The 23,077-nt window shown below is 38.4% G+C and overlaps 2 long non-coding RNA genes across 2 annotated transcripts in view, besides 1 other annotated feature; one reads left to right on the top strand and one right to left on the bottom strand.

Moving 5' to 3' along the window:
- The window catches only part of SLC7A11-AS1 (SLC7A11 antisense RNA 1), an 89,164-nt gene that overhangs the window by 43,454 nt on the left and 22,633 nt on the right, over positions 1–23,077 (bottom strand). The gene's annotated exons all lie outside the window — the stretch shown is intronic.
- Positions 4,039–23,077, top strand: part of LINC00616 (long intergenic non-protein coding RNA 616) — a 103,264-nt gene continuing 84,225 nt past the window's right edge. Inside the window, exons 1-3 of the long non-coding RNA NR_037866.1 lie at positions 4,039–4,305; positions 5,214–5,351; positions 10,932–10,987. This is a non-coding gene — a long non-coding RNA (long intergenic non-protein coding RNA 616). The remainder of the gene's footprint in view (positions 4,306–5,213; positions 5,352–10,931; positions 10,988–23,077) is intronic.
- Positions 20,605–21,514: an enhancer, noted in NCBI's record as "OCT4-NANOG-H3K27ac hESC enhancer chr4:139034364-139035273 (GRCh37/hg19 assembly coordinates)". NCBI's record gives its function as "activates a minimal SCP1, AML or CMV promoter by ChIP-STARR-seq in primed H9 embryonic stem cells {active_cell/tissue: H9 hESC(primed)}" and the evidence as "EXISTENCE:reporter gene assay evidence [ECO:0000049][PMID:30033119]".

Raw genomic sequence — 23,077 nt, 5'->3', positions numbered from 1 at the left:
AAGCAAAAGGCAGGAGACGTCAGCAAGATGGTGAAAGTCTCGGGCTTCAATCCCCCATCACAGAAAGTTCAGCAAACAACTATTCACAGATTAGAACGTCCTTTTGAAAACCCCAACACTTAGAAACAAGCCTTTGACACCTATGTGGTCCATAGAACTGAATGAAATCTGAATTAGAAGGATAAGAAGAATGGTCTCACTCTGACTGTGCTGCCCCTTTTCCTTCCCCAAGTTAGCACGATGCCAGAGGGAGAGGATTTCCCTGGGCTCACAGTTTTTACAGGGGGAAAAGAGAACTAGAGGTAGTCATCCAGCTTTCCTAGCATTCTGAGTTGTTTCCTACAAGCCCACTCTAGTCTCACAGGGAACACTGGGGAAAATGACATGGCTAGAATGCCTGGTGTCAGGTAGAAATAAAGAAAGGAGGCATAAGTCATAGTTACCAGCACATGGATCTTAGTAATGCCTCTGTGCTGTTGCCAGCTATGGAGCCTGATCAGAGACATCAGTCAACCTTATAGCGCATCCACAAAGCTGAGCTGGTTGCCTTGAGAAGCATGGTGGGAAGTTCAAGGTAGTTTGAGTTTCTAGACTGTTATTCTCCTTGCCTGCCTCAGAGCCTACTCCAGTGGTCCCACCCAGTCAGGGAGATGCTTGCCTCCTCCCATTTTAGAGAAGCAAAGAGATTAGACTGTCTTGATCCAGAAAGTCAAGCAGCAGCTCCATCTAGCCATAAAAACCACCCAGCTACCCTGCATAGGCAAAAAGACTTTGGCCTCAGTGGATTTCAGAGAAGTGAAGGGGCTAGACTGGCTTGAACTTGGAAGTCAAGCATCAACTCCACTCAGCAGCAATTTCACTGAATGACCTTACCCAGGCAGGAAGACTCCCATTTTCATTTAGAGAAACACAGAGACTAGTTCTGCTTGGCCTAGGAAGTTAAACAGAGCTCCATTTAACCAAAAAAAAAATCTACACAATGACCTTTCCCAAGCAGGGAGACTCTCACCTCCATGGATTTAAGAAAAGCAAAGGAGCTAAATGGGCTTGACTTGGGAGTGGTCAGCTACTCAGCTCGTAGAAAAGCCCAGCCCATGGCTCCACCCAGATAGGGAGGCAATCCTTAGTCACACATCTGTAAGGAGCATAGCCTCTGGTCCTACCTGTCCTGAGTAGCACTAACACCTAACCTTGAAGCCCATCCTACAGACCCACTCAAATATAGATCCCAAATAACTGAATTGCCCGTCCAGGGAATATATTTTGTAACTTATCTGACCAAAAGCCATTGTAGTACCCAGCCAATAGCTTTGCCCCATAGCAGAGCCCAGGTAGTGGTCTCACCGGATAGCAGCAGCCCCATCCAACGTTAGAGTGAAGGCAGCATCCTAGTCAACTAAAGAACTCAAAACAAGCTCTGCCTGCCTGGGATTGTTACAGCTGGCCCTTCCAGAATCAGAGACTAGACTAAATAGTGAGGTTCTATTCCTGCCAAAGAACACCTGAAACGGCCAGAGGGGAAGCTGTCTCCTCAAATGCACAGACAACAGCACAAGAATGCAAGAATTACCAAGAATCATGTAATCATGACACTTTCAAAAGAAACTACTAAAGCTTCAGTAATGGCCGAGCATGGTGGCTCGTGACTGTAATCCCAGCACCTGGGAGGCTGAGGCAGAAGGATCACTTGAGGTTGGGAGATTGAGACCAGCCTGGCCAACATGGTGAAACCCTGTCTCTACTAAAAATACAAAAATTAGCCAGGTGTGGTGGTGGGATCCTGTATCCTAGCTTCTTGGGAGACTGAGGCAGGAGAATTGCTTGAATCTGGGAGGCAGAGGTTGCAGTGAGTCGAGATCGCACCACTGCACTCCTGCCTGGGCGACAGAGCAAGACTCCATCTATAAATAAATAAATAAAGGACTGCAACAAAATGGAGATCTATGAAATGATTTGCAAATAATTCAGAACAATACTCATAAATAAGTTCAGTGAACTACAAGAATATATGAAGAGGAAGTTTAATGAAATTTAGAAAACATTTCATGGAAACAGCAATAACACTGACAAAGAAATAGAGACAATAAAAAAGAACCAGATAGAAATTCTAGAGATGAAGAATGCAATGACTGAACAACAGAAAAAAAATTAACAGAAAACTTCAATAGCAGATTCAAACAAGCAGAAGAAAAAAATCAGCTGAAAGAAAGAACATCTGAAATTATTCATTTAGAAGAGCAAATAGACAAAAGAATAAAAAAGAATGGAGAAAGCCTACAGGAATTATGGGACAATCAAGAGACCAAACTTTTGCATAAGGAGGAGAAGAAAGAGAAAAAAGGCCAGAAACCATATTTAAATAAATAATGACTTTCCTAATATGAGGATAGATGCCAACACCCAGGTACAGGAAGCAGAGAGAGCTCCAATTAAATTCATCTCAAATTGAGTATATTAAAACACATAATAATCAAACTATCAAAAATTAAACACATATAAAAATTGTGGGAGCAGCAAGATGTAAGAGATACATCAAATATAAAAGTGTCAATATGACTATCAGTGGATCAGTGGATTTCTCAGCAGAAATCCTAAAGGTCAGGAGAGAATGGAATGATACAGCCAAAGTCTTGAAGGGGGTGGGGGAAACTGCTAACTGCTAACCAAAAATACTTTATCCAGTAAAACTATTTTTCCATATTGAGACAGTAATAAAAATTTTCTTACACAAACACCCAAGCTTAGAGAGTTCATCATCACTATACTTGCCTTATAGGAATTGTTAAATGGAGTTCTTTAAACTGAAGCAAAAGGCTGCTAATTAATAACATGAAGCATAGTAAATCACAGAACTCAATGGTATACGTAGAGCAGAGCCATATTCAAAATACTATAGTTCTGTAATGATGGTGTGTAAAACTATTAATAAAAATTGTAGGTAAGATAAATTGCCAAGAGATATACATTATAAAATGATGTAAATTTTGACATCAAAAGCATAAAATATGTGTGTGGAGGGTGGAGAGTGTAGAGTGCGTATAACTTTCTGTTGCCTTAGCAACCACTTTTTAATGTAAGTTTAACTTTTTATTACCAGAAATAGGGCCCCGTCACACTTGGCACAGTTTCCTATACTATACTCACCTAAATGGTTCCAGCCAGTGACCAGAGATAAAAACTTAGAGGCATCTCTCCCATGTAGTAGGCTGGGCTCCCAGCTTTTCTCTCACTTATTTTGAATAGACCATTCAGACATTTGCCTGTGAATTCTAAGTGTTTACCTTCCAGTCACAGCGTAACCTCCTGGAAATAATGACTGCTTGCTTTAAAACCACCAGTTACAGCTGGTGGTTTCCCTACAGGAAAATTGTTTGGATAATGCCCTGGACCCAATAAAGGCACTGACACATGGGTCCCTTCTCTTTCTCTCTACCAGAACCCCCTCTATGTGGGTATGGCTTCCTGACATGCCATGTACCCTCCAGGGTCTGTGAGTACTAAAATCTCTTAAACTATTATGTGGTGGTTGTGTCACTGAAGCCACACCTGCAATCTGACCCCTGACTGTGAAGCCACCGAAAGGAGACTCATGCAGGTGAATCCCTGGGTGATGCTCTTCTGTCTGGACATCTGGTAGCTGCTGAAAACAATAGCTATCAACTCAAAGAGTTTTATCCAAAACAACTGATGTAGAAGGTATGATTATAGTCAAAGCTTGGATACAATATCATTGTCTGCCCACTGGGAATGGATGACTTATTTCCCGTATCAGATGGTCCAGTTGGTATCTGATGGCACTACTACTTGCCAGTATTCAATCAAGCTATTTCGCACTGGTGCCTACTTCTGCTCTCAGGTGTTGCCTTGGGGATTTGCTTGAAATTGTGGTGGCTGTAGACAGCTCTATGAGCTCTTAAAGTTCTTTTGAAGCTGTCAGAGAGCAAGTCCCAATATAATCAGGGTGTGTTTTCCTTTGTGACATCATTAGCTTTTCTTGGGATCTCAAAGGACCCTGTGCAGCAGGCCACTATTTGAATGTGTGTTGCTCCTTGTGGCAGGTATACTGTTCCAATGCCCTGGGATCTCTGTAGTGGTCGGTACTGTATTGATTATAAATGGTGAAGTCCTAGTATCTTGCTAGAGTGAGCTGGCCAGGATGGTGGAGCTCTACCACCATTTCACAGGTTATAGACAGGGGCCACCAGGTTTCAGGAAAGCAGCAATGACCCCTCAGTAATAGTTGGAAAGTGTGATATGACACTGAGCTTCACTGTGTTGGTGAAGAAGAGGTGAGGAAAATAAAAGGTAATTAATTTAATTAACTTTATATATAGAACATTAATACATACATATGCAAACACAATATTTCAATATAAATATATAATAAATAAATTGTATATATATTTTCCATAATTTGATTTCATTGGAAAGTCAAAATTCATATACTAAAGAATTTTTGTTAATAATAAATAAAAACGATAAACAGCACTGATTGGCTTTTGTGTCTCCACAATAGAGATTCTAACTTAACTTTTAACATTTGCTAAAATGCACTAATTGACCAAAATGCATGGGCTTAATTAATACCAGGACTCAAACTATAGTTACATCTGGGGTCCCACTAAATTTAAATATTCTACTTCTATATTTTGCCTGTATAAAATACAAAAATGAGTATTCCTCAATTTAACTATGGCCATGCCTACACTTCCCGTAATCATATACTCCATTGCTATAAAATATTCTATGTTGGACTTAGATTCTCTGACACAGTAAGTAATAAATTTAAAGTAAGTTTTTGGCACTTACAAATTGGATTGATAAAATGGGACCCCATAACCCCCCCAGTTAATAGTTAATATGGCCCAATATAAGTTGAAATGGGCTCCTCAAGATTAAAACTAAGTATATAAAACCTAATTATTAAAGGGATAATTCTCCCTCCTGCTTTTCCATTTAGCAACCAATCTTTCTCTGTTCCCGAATCTGAAAAAAAAGAAAAAATATATATATATATGTAGACATACAAAAGGTGCCGTACTACAGACTACTACAACCTTAATACGGTGATCCTATTCATTAGGACCCCTATACTCAATAACTAATATTATTACCATTGTTGATTCAACCCAATCAACATCTGGTACATAGTTTGCTCTTATAGATTTGGCTAACCTGTTCCATTCAGTTCCTATTTCTACGTCCTTTCACAGCTGCAGTTTGCCTCCACCTCTGAAGAAGCACAATACACCTTTCTGGGTTACCAATGGGATACTTCCCAACAGCTTTGTCATCACATACAATATTCTCAAACAAGATCTTAATGGCATCTACTTTCTCCAGGAACACAGGTATGACACTACATTAATATCCTCTTCCAAGGAGATTCATTGTTTACAACCATTAAGGTCAGTTAAGTCCAATATTTCTTAGTACTTCTGAGTTCTGGCAGCAACATATTCCTCATTTACAAATTTTACTTCTAAATTAAAATCAATAGGCACTCCTGTCAGTGCCCTCAAAAAACTCCTTCACTGTAGAGGCTTTGAAAACCTTTTGGCCTGGCACAGTGGCTCCTGCCTGTAACCCCAGCACTTTGGGAGGCTGAGGCAGGGGGATCATTTGAGGTCAGGAGTTTGAGACCAGCCTGGCCAACATGGTGAAACCCGATCTCTATGAAAAGCATAAAAATTAGCCAGGTGTGGTGGCATGCACCTGTAGTCCCAGCTACTTGGGAGGCTAAGGCAGGAGAATTGCTTGAACTTGGGAGACAGAGGCTGCAGTGAGCCAAGATCGCGCCACTGCACTCCAGCCTGGGTGACAGGGCAAAAATCTGTCTCAAAAAAGAAAAAGAAAAAAATGAAAACCTGCTTCCAGGAGTCCTGGGACCACTGATAACTGCCATTGGTTGCCCCAGGGCTTCTTATGCAAGATATTGCCCCTCTTGGCTTTATGCTATACACCATTAAAACAACAAGTGTCGGCCGGGTGCGGTGGCTCACGCCTGTAATCCCAGCACTTTGGGAGGCCGAGGCGGGCGGATCACAAGGTCAAGAGATCAAGACCATCCTGGCCAACATGATGAAACCCCGTCTCTATTAAAAGTACAAAAATTAGCTGGGCGTAGTGGCGCACGCCTGTAATCCCAGCTACTCGGGAGGCTGAGGCAGGAGAATCGCTTGAACCCGGGAGGCAGAGGTTGCGGTGAGCTGGGATTGTGCCACTGCACTCCAGCCTGGCGACAGGGCGGGACTCCATCTCAAAAAAAAAAAAAAAAAAAAAACAAAAAAAAAAACAAGTGCCTGGCTACAAACAGGGATCTCTTGAAAATAAAGACTTTCACAAATCCTAAATCTGTGATTCTCCATACCCAACTGCTCACTGTGCTTTAAGTAATAGAAACAGCACCCTACAAACTTGGCATAGTTACCAAGGCCTCTCTAAGAGGAGCCAAACCTGGGCCTTCTGGTGTATGCTACCTGAAGGAGGGGTGGCTTCCCTGGTCCTCAGTTCCTTAAAAGATGCCAGGGTGCTGGAGGAGGTCATCCTTACCCTATACCCCTTCTCTACCTGGGAAGCCCATTGGGAATAACTGAGTAAATGATAACGAGAGTTGGCAAACTATGTAGACAGCACTGCTAACCATCATACATCATGGTACTTAGTGTAATGTTGCTTCTTTCCATCCCTTAGCCACAATGTCCCTGTGTTAGGCCATTTTTTTTTTTGGCATTGCTATAAAGACTGGGTAATTTATAAAGAAAAGAGATTTTATTTTGGCCTATAGTTCTGCAGGCTGTACATGAAGCATGGTGTTAGCACCTGCTTCTGCTGAAGCTCAGGAAGCTTACGCTCATGGCAGAAAGCAATGGGGAACAAGCATGTCACATGGCAAGAGAGAGAAGGGGGAGGTCCCAGACTCTTTTAAAGAACCAGATCTTGCATGAACTAACCGAGGGAGAACTCAGTTATCACCAAGGGGATGAGGCTAAGCCACTCATGAGGGATCCACCCCCATGATCCAGCTACCTTCCACCAGATCCCACCTCCAACATTGGAAACCACATTTCAACATGAAATTTGGAGGGGACATGCATCCAAGCCAAGTCATTATGACCCTGGCCCCCCAAATCTCATGCCCTTCTCACACTGCAAAATACAATCATCCCTTTTCAATAGTCTCCCAAGGCCTTACTTATTCCAACATTAACTCAATCAAAGGTCCAAAGTTTTATCTAATACTCAAGGCCAAGCTCTTTCCACCTCTGAGCCTAATAAATCAAAAAATAAGTTATTTACTTCCCAAATGCAATAGTGGTACAGGTGTTGATTATACATACCTGTTTTGAAAGGGAAAAACCAGTCACAAAAAAAAAGAACGGGTGGCAGCAGGCTCCAAGTAAGTCCAAAACCCAGGAGGGCGGTCATTGAATCTTACAGTTTCAAAATAATCAACTTGGACTCCATGTCCCACATCCAGGGCACACTGGTACAAAGGGTGGGCTCCCAAGTCCTTGGGCAACTCTGTGGCTGCTCTCACAGGTTGGAATTAATGACCTATAGTTTTTCCAGGCTCAGGATGCAAGCTGCAAGTGGCTCTATTATTCTGGGGTCTGCAGGATGGTGACCCTCTTACCACAGGTCCACTAACCAGTGGCCTGGTGGGGACTCTGTGCGGGGACTCTAACCTCACGTTTCCCTCTGGGAACTGCCATAGTAGGGATTCTCTGTGGAGAATGCCCCTGCAGCATGCTTCTGCCTGGACACCCAGGCATTCCAAAACATCCTCTGAAACCTAGAAGGAAGTTGCTGCACCTCTTTCACACGTGCATTCTGAGCACCTGCAGACTTAATACCATGTGGAAACAGCCAAGGCTTATGGCTTGCACCCTCTGGAGCTTCATTCTGAGCTACACTTGGGCTCCTTTGAGCCAAGGCTGGAGCTGGAGTGGCCAGAATGAGGCGAGCTGTGTCCTGGGGCTAAGCAGGGAAGCAGTGCCCTGGCCCTAATCCCTGAAACCATTATCCTCCTAGGCATCTGAATCTGTGGTGGTAGAGGCCATCCTGAAGACTTCTGAAATGCCTTTGAGGCCTTTTTACCATTATCTTGAATATTAGCACTTGGCTCCTTCTTAGTCATGGTAATCTCTCTAGCCAGTGGTTGCTCCACAGCCTGCTTGGATTCTTTTGTTACCACAGGACCAGGCTGCAAATTTTTCAAACTTTTACACTCTACTTCCCTTTTAAATATGTTTCAACTTTAAGTCATTTCTTTATTACTGTATCTGATTGTAGGCTGTTAGAAACAGCTAGGCCACATCTTAAACACTTTGTTGCTTAGACATTTCTTCCACCAGATATGCTAGGTTATCACTCTTAAGTTCAGCCTTCCACAGATCCCTAGGATGTGAACACAATGTAGCCAAGCTCTTTGCTAGGGCATAACATGCCCAATAAATTCCTCATTTCCATCTGAGACCTTGTCAGCCTGGTCTTCACTGTCCATATTTCTATCAGTGTTTTGGTCACAACCAAAGTTCCACATTTTAATTCGTCTTTCTGTCTTCTTCTGAGCCCTCCAAACTCTTCCAACCTCTGCCTCTTACCCAATTCCAAAGCCACTTACACATCTTTTGTTGTCTTTATAGTAACATCCCGCTTCTGGTACCAATTTTCTGTGTTAGGCTATTTTTGCATTGCTATAAAGGAATACCTGATGCTAGGTAATTTACAAAGAAAGGAGCTTTTATTTTAGTTCATGGTTTTGGAGGCTGTACATTAAGCATGCTGCTGGCATCTACTTCTGGTGAGGCATCAGGAAGCTTACAATAATGGCAGAGGTGATGGGGAGCCAAAATGTCACATGGCGAGAGCAGGAGCAAGAGAGACAAGGGGGAGGTCCCAAACTCTTTTAAACAACCAGATTTCATGTGAACTAACTAAGGGGAGAATTCAGTCATTACCAAAGGGATTATGCTAAGCCATTCATGAGGGATCTGTTCCCATGATACAATCATCTTCCACCAGGCCCCACCTCCAACACAGGGAATCACATTTCAACATGAGATTTGGAAGGGACAAACATTCAAACCATATCAGTCCCTAATAAATGATGGAGACCAAGAAACAACGCACTTAGCCAAACTTCAGGCCATTGTGTTTGCACTAGATGCCCTGGTCAACAAATGGTTTCATCTTTATATTTATTATAAGCTATTAGGCCATTGCTTAAAAATTGTCCCCTTTAAGGCAAAAAACAAAGACAAACCAAACAAAACCTCTGGGAATTTCTTGATTTATAGACACCCAAAGAATAAATCAAAATTACGAATCTCCATATGTTCTGAGGCCACAGCCTAAGGCTTTGCTGGGATATTTCTTATTCCCTTCAAAGTTACAAGCATTACTACTACTAAAAAAAGGCACAAATTTCACTTATTAAAATATATCTTGCTAGGTTCTTGAAAAAGACATTCAATAGAACTTTCACATCCTTGATAGCTCCCAAATAACTGCTTTAATTGAGAGACACAATGATGACCTCAAAAAACTTCTTTTCTTTTCAAATTCCAAGACAACAAACACACTAAGGTTCTCCAGTTTGTCCCAGGCCTTAACTACTTTCATATACATTTTTGATCTTGCCCCCATCCCACTAACACTGGAAGCCAGATGGAGGACTCATATTCTCCTAGGATTCATTACAATAGATTGTCCCACAGACCAGGTATCTATTCATATAACCAGGGACCCATTTAAACCTAAACTTTTACCCTGAACAAAACCTCGTCAGGGGCAGCTGCACATTGTTCTATTGATTATTGGTCTTATTACTATTACTGGTTTGGGTACTTTTGTTGGTTTACAATCAGACATCCAAATCCTTCAGCAAATGATTGTTTGAACCAATTATGCTAAATACTGTGTCCTACATTAACACAAATGGGTACCCACTTGAAAAGGATACCCAGTCAGACATTCCAGATGACATTGACCTGACCCAAAATCTCTCCACTGAGATGACATTACCTCAGATGACATCATCCTAACCCAAGACCTCGATGTTGTAGTTGACTTCACTCTTTACCCTAAACCTCCACCAAGGGATACTCACAGACTGCCTTTCCTAACGCAGAAAATGGACCCAGCACATTTTTACATATCCGTCTAAATTCACTGTCTGCTTATCCTGTGATCCTGGTATACTTCTTCTCCGGTCAAATATATACCCTCACACTTCTATACCTAAAGAGAATTCTGGTACAGGTTACTAAAATTAATGGAGATTATTGCTTTCCCCAAAAGGCACCAATTCTATGTCATTAAACCCTTTAACTCCCTGAGGAGAGGACTTACCCACTCTCTGATGTCTTTTTCTGCCACCTGCCTCCAGCTTTCCACTCCAATCTTTTGCCCTGTGTCTCCACACACAACCACCACAACTACTCTTTTCCCTTACAGTCAATAATCTCCACCACTCAACTCCAATTGCCTTACTTTTGAGTATGATTCTAAGACATCATGAGATAAATTACACTGAATGTTAATAATTTTATATTGCTTCAGTATTCCTTTTAAAATATAAATTTATTAATACTAGAAGCAGGGTTCAGGCCACCTTGACCCTGTTTCCAATACTGTATCCCACTTGAATGGCTCTAGTCAATGACAAGGTATAAAAACATAGAAGCATCTCTCCCATCTAGCAGGCCAGGCTCCCTGCTTTCCTCCTACTTCCTTTAAATGGACCATTTAGACATTTGCTCAGGAACTTAAAGTGATCACCTCTGATTCACAATGTGACCTCCTGAAATTAGTGCCTATTTGTTTTAAACCTACTGATTAAAGCTCTCCACAGGAAATTTGGATAATTCTGTGGGTCCAATAAAGGAATTGACCCAAAAGTCCCTTCTCTCTCTCTCTTCTTGCAGCCCCTGACCTGTGTGTGTTTGCGTAGAGAAGGCATGCTATGTACCCCCTAGGATATGTGAGTATGAAAAACTTTTAAACTATTGCATTCTGATTGTGTCATTAAACTGCACCTGCAATCCAATCCCTAACAGTGAGACCACCTAGAGGAGACTCATGCAGGTGGATCCCCTGCTGGTGCTCTCCTGTGTGGGCCTCTGATGGCTGCTGAAAACAGTAGCTACCAATGAGTTATTAAAGAAATTCAGAGTTTAAATGAAAACAGGGAGTAAAATGTACTATTGTTGTATCAAAGTTAGTTAAGCCATCACAGTTAAGTTGTTATCAGCTTGAAATAGGCTGTCATACATATGAGATGTTCCATGTAAGCCTCATGGTAACTACAAAGCAAAAATCTTCAATAGAAGCACAAAACAAAACTAGAAAATATTCAAAGCATACTACTATTGAAAACCATCAAACCACTAAGAAAGACAGAAAGAGAGGAAGAAACAAATTCTTAATAAAACAACCAGAAAACAAGTAAGAAAATGGCAGTAATAAGTTCTTACCTATCAATAATTATCTTATATGTAAATAAGTTAAATTCTCCAATAAAAAGAAAGAGAGACAGAATGAATAAGAAACAGGACCCAGTTATGTGCTGACTACAAGAGACTCACCTCAATTTTAAGGACACACATAGAGTAAAAGTGAAGGGATGGAAAAAGATATTCCATGTAAATAGAAACCACAAGAGAGCAAGGGTAGCAACCAAATAAAACAGACTTTATGTCAAAAACCATCAAAAGAAGGGCATTATATAATGATAAATAAACCAAATCCTGAAGAGAATATAGCAATTGTAAAAATACCTTCATTCAACATTAGCACACATAAATATATAAAACAAATAGTAAAAAATCTGAAGAAAGAGACAGATTGCAATACAATAATAGAAGGAGATTTCAATACCTCACTCTCAACAATGAAAAGACCATCTGAACAGAAAAACGATAACTAAATATTAGACTTGAACAGCACTTTAAATTAAATGGATGTAATAGACCTATATGAAGCAGTCCATGCGGTAACAACAGAATACATATTATTCTCAAGAACAAACAGAACATTCTCCAGAATAGAACACATGTGAGGGCACAAAAACAGCCTCAACAAATTCAAGAAGACTGAAATTATATTGAGTATCATTTTTGACCACAATAGCCTAAAACTAAAAATCAGTAAGAGGAATTTTGGAAAAACTACAAATACATGGAAGTTAAACAAAATACTCCAGAACAATCAATGGTCAACAAAGAAATTAAAAGAAAAATTTTAAATATCTTGAGATAAACAAAAATGGAAACAAAACAAACCAAATTTATGGGATACAGGAAAAGCAGTTATAAGAGGAAAGTGTATAGCAATAAATATCTAGATAAAAAACAAAACAAACTAAAGCAAAACAGAAAGATCTCAAATAAACAACCGAATATTATACCTCAAGAAACTAGAAAAAGAAGAACACACAAAACTCAAAATTAGCATGAGGAAGGCTGTAACAGATAAATAACATGGGGAAAAGAAATAAATAATATGGAGACTAGTAAAACAACACATCCATGAAACTAAACTTTTTTAACTTTTAGGTTTAGGAGTACATGTGCAGGTTGTTATACAGGTAAACTGCATGTCACAGGAGTTTAGTGTGCAGATTATTTAGTCACACAGTTAATAAGTATAGTACCTGATAGGTATTTTTAAAATCCTCTCTTTCTTCCTATCCTCCAACCTCAAGTAGGCCCCAGTGTCTGCTGTTTCCCTATTTGTGCCTGTGTGTTCTAATTTTTTAGTTCCCACTTGATAAGTTAGAACATATGGTATTTGGTTTTCTGTTCCTGTGTTAGTTTGTTCAGAATAATGGTGTCCAGCTCCATCCATGTTGCTGCAAAGAAAATGATCTCCTTCTTTTATATGGCTGCATAGTATTCCATGGTTTATATGTGTGACATTTTCTTTATCCAACCTACCGTTGATGGGAATTTAGATTGATTCCATGTCTTTGCTATTGTGAATAGTGCCCTGATGAACATACGCATGCATGTGCCTTTATAGCAGAAGTAATTATATTCCTTTGGGTATATAACCCATAATAAGATTGCTGGGTCAAATGGTAATTCTGGTTTAAGTTCTTTGAGAAATGGCCACACTGCTTTCCACAATGGCTGAGCTAGTTTACACTCCTACCAGCAGTGTATAAGTGTTCCCTTTTCTCCACAACCTTGCCCTCACCACCATCTCTTATATTTTTTCTTTTTTTTTCTTTTTTCTTTTTTTTTTTTTTTGAGATGGAGTCTTGCTCTGTCACCCAGGCTGGAGTGCAGTGGCACAATCTCGGCTCACTGCAAGCTCTGCCTCCCAGGTTCATGCCATTCTCCTGCCTCAGCCTCCTGGTAGCTGGGGCTACAGGTGCCCACAACCATGCCCGGCTAATTTTTCGTATTTTTAGTAGGGACAGGGTTTCACAGTGTTAGCTAGGGCGGTCTCAATCTCCTGACCTCGTGATCCACCCACCTCGGCCTCCCAAAGTGCTGGGATTACAGGCATGAGCCACTGTGACCAGCCATTTTTTTTTTCTTTTTTTATAATAGATATTCTGACAGATATGAGATGGTATCTCATTATGGTTTTGATTTGCATTTCTCTAATTTTGATATAGAGAATTTTTTAACATGCTTGTTGGCCACATGTGTGTCTTCTTTTGAAAAGTGTCCATTCATGTCTTTTGACTACTTTTTAATGAGGTTGTTTCTTTTTTGCTTGTAAATTTAAATTCCTTATAGATTCTAGATATCTAACCTGTGTCAGAAATATAGTTTGCAAAAATTTTTTCCCATTTTATAGGTTGTCTAATTACTCTGTTGATAAGTTTCTTTTGCTATGCAGAAGCTCTTTAATTTGATTAGGTCTCATTTGTCAAATTTTTATTTTTGTTGCAACCTCTTTTGGCATCCTCATCATTAATTCGTTGCCAGGTCCTTGCCCTAGAATGAAATTTTCTAGGTTATCTTCTAGAAATTTTATAATTTTAGTATTACACTTAAGTCTTCAATCCATCTTGAGTTGATTTTTGTATATAGTGTAAGGAAGGAGTCCATTTTCAATCTTCCACATATAACTAGCCAGTTATCCCAGCAGCATTTATTGAATAGGGAGTCCTTTCTCCACTGCTTGTTTTGGTCAGCTTTGTGGATGGATGTATGTGTGTGGCATTCTTTCTAGAACCTCTAATATGTTCTGCTGGTCTATGTGCCTGTTTTTGTACCCGTACCATGCTGTTTTGGTTACTGTTGCCTTGTCATATAGTTTGAAGTCTGTTAACATGATGTCTCCAGCTTTGTTCTTTTTGCTTAGGATTGCCTTGGCTATTTGGGCTCTTTTTGGTTCCATATGAATTTTGACCTAGTTTTTTCTAAGTTTTTTTTTTTTTTTTTGACAGAGTCTTGCTATCTCACCAGGCTGGAGTGCAGTGGCACGACCTCAGCTCACTGCAACCTCCGCTTCCTGGGTTCAAGCAATTCTCCTGCCTCAGCCTCCCGAGTAGCTGGGATTACAGGCATGTGCCACCATGCCCAGCTAACTTTTGTATTTTTAGTAGAGACGGGGTTTCACCATGTTGGCCAGGATGGTCTCAATCTCCTGACTTCATGATCCTCCTGCCTTGGCCTCCCAAAGTGCTGGGATTACAGGCATGAGCCACCACGCCCAGCCAGAATTGTTTTTTTTTTTTTTAAATAAACAAAATTGACAAAACTTTGGCTAGACTAAGAAAAAATGAGAGAAACCTCAAATAAATTACATCAGATATGAAAAAGAAGACACTACAGCTGATACCACAGAAATACAAAGGATCAAAAGAGACTATTACAATTATATGCAACAAATTTGATAATTTAGAAGAAACAAACAAATCCCTAACACATCTAACCTACCAAGACTGATTGATAAAGAAATAGAAAATTCGAGCAGAAAATAACAAGTATGGAGATTGTATCAGTAATAAGAAAGTCTTCCATCAAAGAAAATCACAAGATCTGATGGCCACATGGCTGAATTCTACCAAATGTTTAATGAAGAACTAATACCAATCCTTCTCAAACTCTTCCAAAAAACTGAAGAGGAGGCAACATTTCCAAGCTCTTCATGAAGTCAGCATTACCCTGATACCAGAGCCAGACAAGGACATTACAAGAAAAGAAAACTGCAGGCCAGTATCCTTGATGAACATCATTGCAAAAACCCTCAACAAAATGTTAGCAAACCAAATTGAACAATATATTTAAAGGACCATCCATAATGATCAAGTGGGATTTATCCCTGATATACAAGAATGGCTCAACATACTGAAGCCAATGAATATGATACATTGCATTAACAGAATGAAGGCCAAAACACCATGTAATCATCTCATTAGATATAGAAAAGGCATTTGATAAAATTCAACATCTTTTTTATGATAAAAACGCTCATCAAATTAGGTACAAAAGGAATGTACCGCAACACAATAAAGGCCATGCAGGAGAAAACCACAGTTAGCATCATACCTAACGGAGAAAAAGTGAAAGTCTTGCCTCTAAGATCTGGAACAAGACAAGGATGCTCACTCTTGGCACTACGTTCAACATAGTATTGGAAGTCCTTGCCAGAGCAATTAGACAAGAGATGAAAATAAAATACATATAATTAGGAAAGTAAGAAGTAAAATGGTCACTCTTTGCTGATGACATATTCGTATATATAGGAAACCCTACAGACTAAATTAAAAAAAAAAACTTGTTGGAATTAATGAACAAATACATTAAAGTGGTAAGATACAAAAATCAACATGCAAAAACTAGTCAAATTTTTGCATGCTAATAACAAACTATCTGAAAAAGAAAGAAAACAATCCCATTTATAATAGTGACAAAAATTAACATACTTAGGAATAAATTTAATCAAGGAACTAAAATATGTGTACACTGAAAAGTTTAAAACATTGATGAAAGAAATTGAAGAAGACCCAAATAGATGGAAAGATATCCTATGTTTGTGGATTGAAATAATTAATAGTTAAAATATTCATTCTACCCAAGGTGATTTATAGATTCAATGTAATTACTGTAAAAATGTCTGTTTTATTTTTCATAGAAATAGAAAAAAAAATGCTAAAATTCATATAGAATAACAACAAACCTTGAATAGCAAAGGCAATCATGAGCAAAAAGAACAAAGCTGGAGGTGTCACACTAGCTGATTTTAAACAATACTAGGGAGTTCTCTAGTAATTAAAACAGCATGATGCTAGAAAAAAAAAAAAAAGACGTATCAACCAGCAGACTGGTTGAAGAGAGCCCAGAAATCAACCAATGCATGCACAGTTGATTGATTTTCAACAAACCTGCCAATAATACATGGTGGAAAAAGGATAGTCTCTTCAACATATGGTGGTGAAAAAACTAGATATCCACATGAACAATATTGGACCCTTATCTCACAGCATAAATGAACTAAAAATGGATTAAAAACTTAAACTGAAGACCAGAAACTGTAAAACTACTAGACAAAACACAGGGGGAAAACTATACAACATTTGTCTTAGCAATGATTTTTTGGATTTGACACCAAAAGAACATGCAACAAAAGCAAAATAGACAAATGGAGTTCTATCAAACTAAGAAGCTTCTGCACAGCAAAGGAAACAATTAATATAGGGGAACAACCTATGGATTGGAAGAAAATATTTGCAAGCCAAACATCTGATAAAATGTCAATATTCAAAATATATAAGGAGATCAAACAACTCAATAGCAAGAAGACAAAAAGCCCAATTTAAAAATGGGCAAGGGGCCTAAATAAGCACTTCTTAAAGGAAGACATACAAATGGCCAACAGATATATGAAAAAATACTCAACATCACTAATCATCAGGGAAGTGCAAATTAAAATCAGAATGAAATATCATCTCACATCTGTCAGAATGGCTATTATCAAAAAGATAAACAATAACAAAGGTAAGTAAGAATGTGGAGAAAAGAAAACCCTTGTACACTGTTGTTGGGAATGTAAACTGGTATAACCACCTTGAAAAACTATATGGAAATTCCTTAAAAAACTAAAAATAGAATTACATGAGGCAAAAACCATATTTCTAGGTATTTACCCAAATATTTGAAATACGTTTGTTGAGAAGGTGTGTGCACTCCCATGTTCACTGCAGCAGCCAAGTCATAGAATCAATCTAATTGTCCATCAACAGATAAATGGATAAGGAAAATGTCGTTTATATACACAATGGAATACTCTTCAGCCTTATCAAAGAAGGAAATGTTATTTGCATGTATGCAATTGGAGAACATTATGCTAATTGAAATATGACAGGCCCAGAAAAACAAATACTGCGTGTTCTCGACTATATATAGTATCTTAAAAGAGTTGAACACATAGAAGTAAGAGAGTAGAAAGTGGTTATGGAGGTTGAGGGATGGGATAATGGGGAAATGATGATCAATATGGGTTTTTTTTAAATATCTATTGCACACTGTGGTGGATATATTAATAGTTGATAATGGAGTATTCTACATTTCAAAATTGCTGAGAGTAAATGTCAAACGTTCTCACTACCAAAAAATGTTAAGTATTTGAGGAAACGGATGATTTAACAAGTTTGATTTAATTATTCACATTGTATTCATGAATCATAACATCATATTGTACTCCACAATTTTCTACAATTATAAATTGTGAATTTACAATTCTAAATAATGAGAAAAATGAATATATGGCTTGTCTTGGTGTTAGGAACAAATTAGGAGATTTGTCTTAGTGTTAGGAGCAAATTAGACAGATTTTTCCTAAAACCTCGAGCTAGTTTTGAAATCATTGTATTTTAAAAAAAAATGCACCTATAATAGTCATTTCCTTTTCATTTAATAATATACTATACTTCTATGTAACATTTTGACTTTAGGATACTAAAGTATAAATAAGATTAGATAACTTTAATTTTATGTGTTATTATTCATACTCTGCATTATTAAAAATGTGTAAAGGGGCTAACTTGTAAGATTAAGATACCAATTTTTTTAAAGCAAGAAATTAAAGGAAAATAGGAAAACTGAGATAAATATTAAAACATAAAATGCATCACATAATATCCAATATACTTGGTTGAAAATCTGACCTCAATTTTCCTGTTAATACGGAAAACATTTAAGAAGGATTTTATTCCTTATACTGTAGGATTTTTCCTATACATCTTACTATGAGCTTATAAGAAATATATACTTCCAACATGATATATTTAACAAAAGAACAAAATAGTGAGAAAAGATTGTTAAATCAAGTATGAAAGCAAACTAAATTTTAATCAAAGCATAACATAAATTAGTTTTCGGGTCCAACTTTTAGGTGGTATGATATATCTCCTGGTTGTATGAGGAACAAATGAAGAGAACATTAAAGTGGACATTTGCATATTTTTGTGGTAATATTTATTCAGCATCCCTCATATGCCTTGAGATTATAGTAAATACTTTTATTATGATAAATTTTTCAGATTGATTGACTAGGTTCATGAGGAACTATAAATAAATATTCAATATAAGCTGAATATATCTAGTTATCTCTATAAAACATATGGGAATGCCAGTGATACTGGCCAGTTGGGAGAACATCCAGAGGTATATTTGGATACTGATGCCCCTTTTCTTTTTCCGTAAGTCATGCAAATATTCTCTGTTCTCAGATGTTAGTTAAAATAATGTTAACAATGTTTATTGAGTAACAGTTATGTGTCACAGTATGTAGTTGCTACAGTTGATATTAAGAAAGAGTAAATCCATAACTTAAGGTGCTTATAATATATTAAAGGTATAAGACAAATTTAAGAATATAATACACAATCTAGTAAGGAAGGCTGTCAAGAAGTATCAACAATGTCTGATACAGTGCAGATGAGGGAAGGATGGCTTCTTTTGAGGGACAGAAAAAAAGGTTTCATGGAAGAGGTGATATTTGAAATGGGTCTGGAAGAATTGATATGATTTGAACCAGAGGATAAAGGTGTTCCATGCAGAAAGAATGCCATCATTCTAAGAGCCCAGGTGGCATTCAGTTCTGTTCACATCCTTAACTCTCTGTCCCCAGACCCCAAAGAAGCAGTCACAATAGGAAAAGTCATTTCATTTCTACTCTTATTTACAGAGCTTTAGCCTGCATCTCACACGCTCCAGTTTGAAGCACGTGTCCTGTCCTCTCTCGGTGTGCCTGGCTTCATTAAGGAATCCTCATTTTTGTAGCACTCATTAAAACTGACAACTTATTTGGATGGTCTGCATGACTTTTCTCATCAGCAACTCTGAGAGTTGCTCTGACTCAAATCACTTCCTAGTGCCCCAGCAGCTGCCTATTGATAAGATTACAAGGGATACCTCTTCTCTATTCCTCTCCCTCCTTTCCCCCTGAACCAGGCATATAACATCCCACACTCCAGACTAGTTGACTCCAGGGCCCTGATTTTCTACCTGTCTGGGGTCAGGATAAGATAATAGGAAAGCACCATATAACACAGGAACTGTGAGTAATCTAGTTTACTAGGAACAGGAGATACACTCAGGAGATTGGTAAATTGTCGGCTGGAAAGATAATCTAGGCTCATATTGTAGAAGTCTTTGAGTGACAAGCTGAGAAAATTGTATTTGATTTGATAAGAAACGAGAATCCAATGGAGGATTTTGAGCAGAGCTTACTGTTTGCATTTAGCTCTCTCTCTCTCTAGGTACTGGGTATATGTATGAGTGTGTGTGTTCTCCATGATATATTCTTATAGGAAAAAGAATAGGGTCTATTAGATTTTCTTTGCATAGTGCCACTCACAACTGTGTGCACATAAGAAAGACTTTGTGGAGATGAGGATGATGAGGAAATTTGGGAAAGTTTATTAGACCACAGGGCTTTGCAAAATGTCACATTCATAAAGGGCTCAAGCATTCCTGAGAGGGAAACATAAAGATTGTCAAAGAGAAAGTAGGCAATGCCAGTAAAAATGGAATAGGTATTTACCCTGTGGAAGTCTTTAGTTTTAACTGGCAGAGACTAGATGGAAACTGAAACAAATCTCAGAGTTTCATGCTCTGCTGACAGCAGAGATGTGGTTCAGTTAGCATCTTGCCGAGTGTTTAAAGGATGTGAAACTCTTGCAGTTTACAGTACATTTGGCAGCTCCCTGTTGGATAATCTTTTTTATGTGTATTCTGTTTAGAAGTGAATTCTACACCAGTTATTTTAAGTATTAGTTTTTAAATCTGTTGCTGTGTTAATTATAGCAAGGACAGCAGCAACACAATAATAGGCTGATGGGAATGTTTTATTTAATGAATCAAGGAAATATCCACCAGGGCTGTATAGAAATGGCAGTGGACTGAAAATAATCAAATATGAATGGGTTTAGGTAGCCAATGGCACTGACAGCTTATGAAGCTGAACACCAGATTTTTTTTTTCCTGCTGTAGTTTATGTGAGAGTCACTGAAGAAAATAACCCTTGGCATGATTATATTTTCTTGTGGAATGTAACTAATTTCACAGTGGAATAATTTTGACAAGAGTTCTTAGTTTCCTTCCATATGTTTTATTTCATTTTTTTAAAAAAGAGGCCTTTGCCCTGGCACATTTGAGTGCTATTGAGCACCATAGGAAAACTTTATTTTTTGTGCCAGAAAAAAAAAAGAAAGGTGAGTCACGGTAAATTGCTCTTACACAACTGCATGCTAGCATGAAGACCTCAAAACCAAACAAAGCAAGAGGCCATCTTGACTCCTCATCAAGGTCTGAAGCAAAGTGAAAATTATGGATGAACATTTAATATTAAGTTCCACACCTTCCCTCTGCCCCTGCAGACCAGGTATATAACCACCTTTGTTTTAAAGACAGGTGGAGGAGTTACTGTGTTTTCATTCAAATACATAAACATTTGAAAAGCCATAGCATGAGAATAAGTGGCTGAAGTTATAGAAAATTAAATAATTTTTACCCTTTTCCTGTAAAAAGCTATCCTACAACTTGTATGTACAATATGTAAGGAGGAAAATAAAGGATACCTAGCAGTAGTACTGATTGATGTTGGATTTTTTGAAGCGCAGGCCTTTCATTTCCTTGAATTTTCCATTGATTTACTTCAAAGTGTCATTTCAAAATAGCTTTCTGGGACTAGGGATCTTGGCATGAAATCTTCAGTATGTTCTAGGATACTTTATTCTGGCACTTATTTATCTTATAGATTAAAAAGAAACTTAGAGCCTTAAATGGTTGGTTATGTGAGCTTGCCTCTTCCACCTCCACCCCATACACATAAACACACATACATAGGCACACACACACACACATCTTTTCCTGCTGATATTTTTAAATTGTACTCCGAATAAAAACCAGTTGTCAGGCCTCTGAGACCAAGCCTGCACGTATACATCCAGATGGCCTGAAACAACTGAAGAACCACAGAAGAAGTAAAAAATAGTCAGTTCCTGCCTTAACTGATGACATTCCACCATTGTGATTTGTTCCTGTCCCACCCTAACTGATCAATTGACCTTGTGACATTCCTTCTCCTGGACAATGAGTCTCAGAAGCTCCCCATGGAGCACCTTGTGACCGCCGCCCCTGGCCGCAAGCCAACAACTTTCTTTAACTGTAATTTTCCACTACCTACCCAAATCCTATAAAACTGCCCCACCCCATCTCCCTTTGCTGACTCCTTTTTTTGGACTCAGCCCGCCTGCACCCAGGTGATTAAAAAGCTTTATTGCGCACACAAAGCCTGTTTGATGGTCTCTTCACCCCTACGCGCGTAACACCAATCTGCTGAATAATTTCTGCTTGTTGTAAAGGTAGAAAATAATTTTTTTCTCTACTTTTTCTGAGTTCTTAACTAGTCCCTCCAGTAACAAAAGATAGATTAAGAGGAGAAAAACAAATAGAAGTTTATTAACATTTAATCCTTAGATACACATTCATTCTAGATATTCACAGAAATTAGTCAATCTCAAAGATGTGGGCTTAGTTCAGGCTTAAATACCATCCTCTACTGAAAAAAAGAAAAAAGAGAGTTGGAGGACCAGTAATGTGGCGGTAACCAGGAAAAGCATGGAAAACAAGGGTAAGGTTTGTTATGCAGATTTAAGTCAGTGCCTTGTCTATTGATAACAATCTCTAATGATTTAAAGTCATTCGCTCCTGGTACAGAGAGGAAGACACCCTTACCAGTGGAGATTTTCTTTATAAATGTAAATTTCCCTTTACAAAAGGGTAACCTGTACTCTATTTTTAGGGCTTCTCATGTGTCTGTGGTACCTTCAAATAACCAGCTCAAAATAATCCTTATGCTAAGGAGTCATATTTCAGGGTGGCATATTCTGGTCTCCTACATAATTGATTGAACTAAATATCAGTAGAATAGGAAAAAGAAGAAGTAGGGCCACAACAAAACAAAGCTGTAAATGCTGTTAAATGTAGCTAATACCAATGTAATCATTAAAAATTTAACATGAATTTAAGCCCAAAAGAAAAAATAAGCACACAATAATTCATTAAAAAAATTTGTGGTTCATGTTCAGTACCTGGTAAGCTAATGTACAAGAGGCATGAAAAGTTGAATAAGATACCTGCTCTTGAGATCCTCAAAGTCTGATAGCAAATGTAGAAAGAATTATGACGTAGTATGGTGAGTTCTATAATAAATTACACCTGCCTTTGCAAAAATTATAACAGTGAGAAAATTATGACAGTGAAAGAGATCTGACCTAACCAACTTCATCTTGCTTTTAGCCTCTAAGCTGCCCTTGTTCATTCCTGGGAGAAGGCCAAGCTAACTTTTGGAGGAATTTCATTTATACTTTAACTTTGAAACAAAGATGACAACAGTTTCTCCTGACACAAAATCCCTCCTGGCCTGGGAACCAGACTGCCTTTGAAAAACTAACAAATTAGCCACAAGATTAGAAATTACAGCTCAGGAGTCATGCAGCCAGAGGCCACAAGATCACCAACCCCCTCAGTTGCTCCTATAGACAACATTACTATTGTAAAACCTAAGCTTGGTGTTTGTGGTATTTCTTAGGAAGTACATTCCG

Source organism: Homo sapiens, chromosome 4 (assembly GCF_000001405.40).
Source record: "Homo sapiens chromosome 4, GRCh38.p14 Primary Assembly".
Lineage (NCBI taxonomy): Eukaryota > Metazoa > Chordata > Mammalia > Primates > Hominidae > Homo > Homo sapiens.
This window is presented reverse-complemented; position numbering and strand designations above follow the sequence as displayed.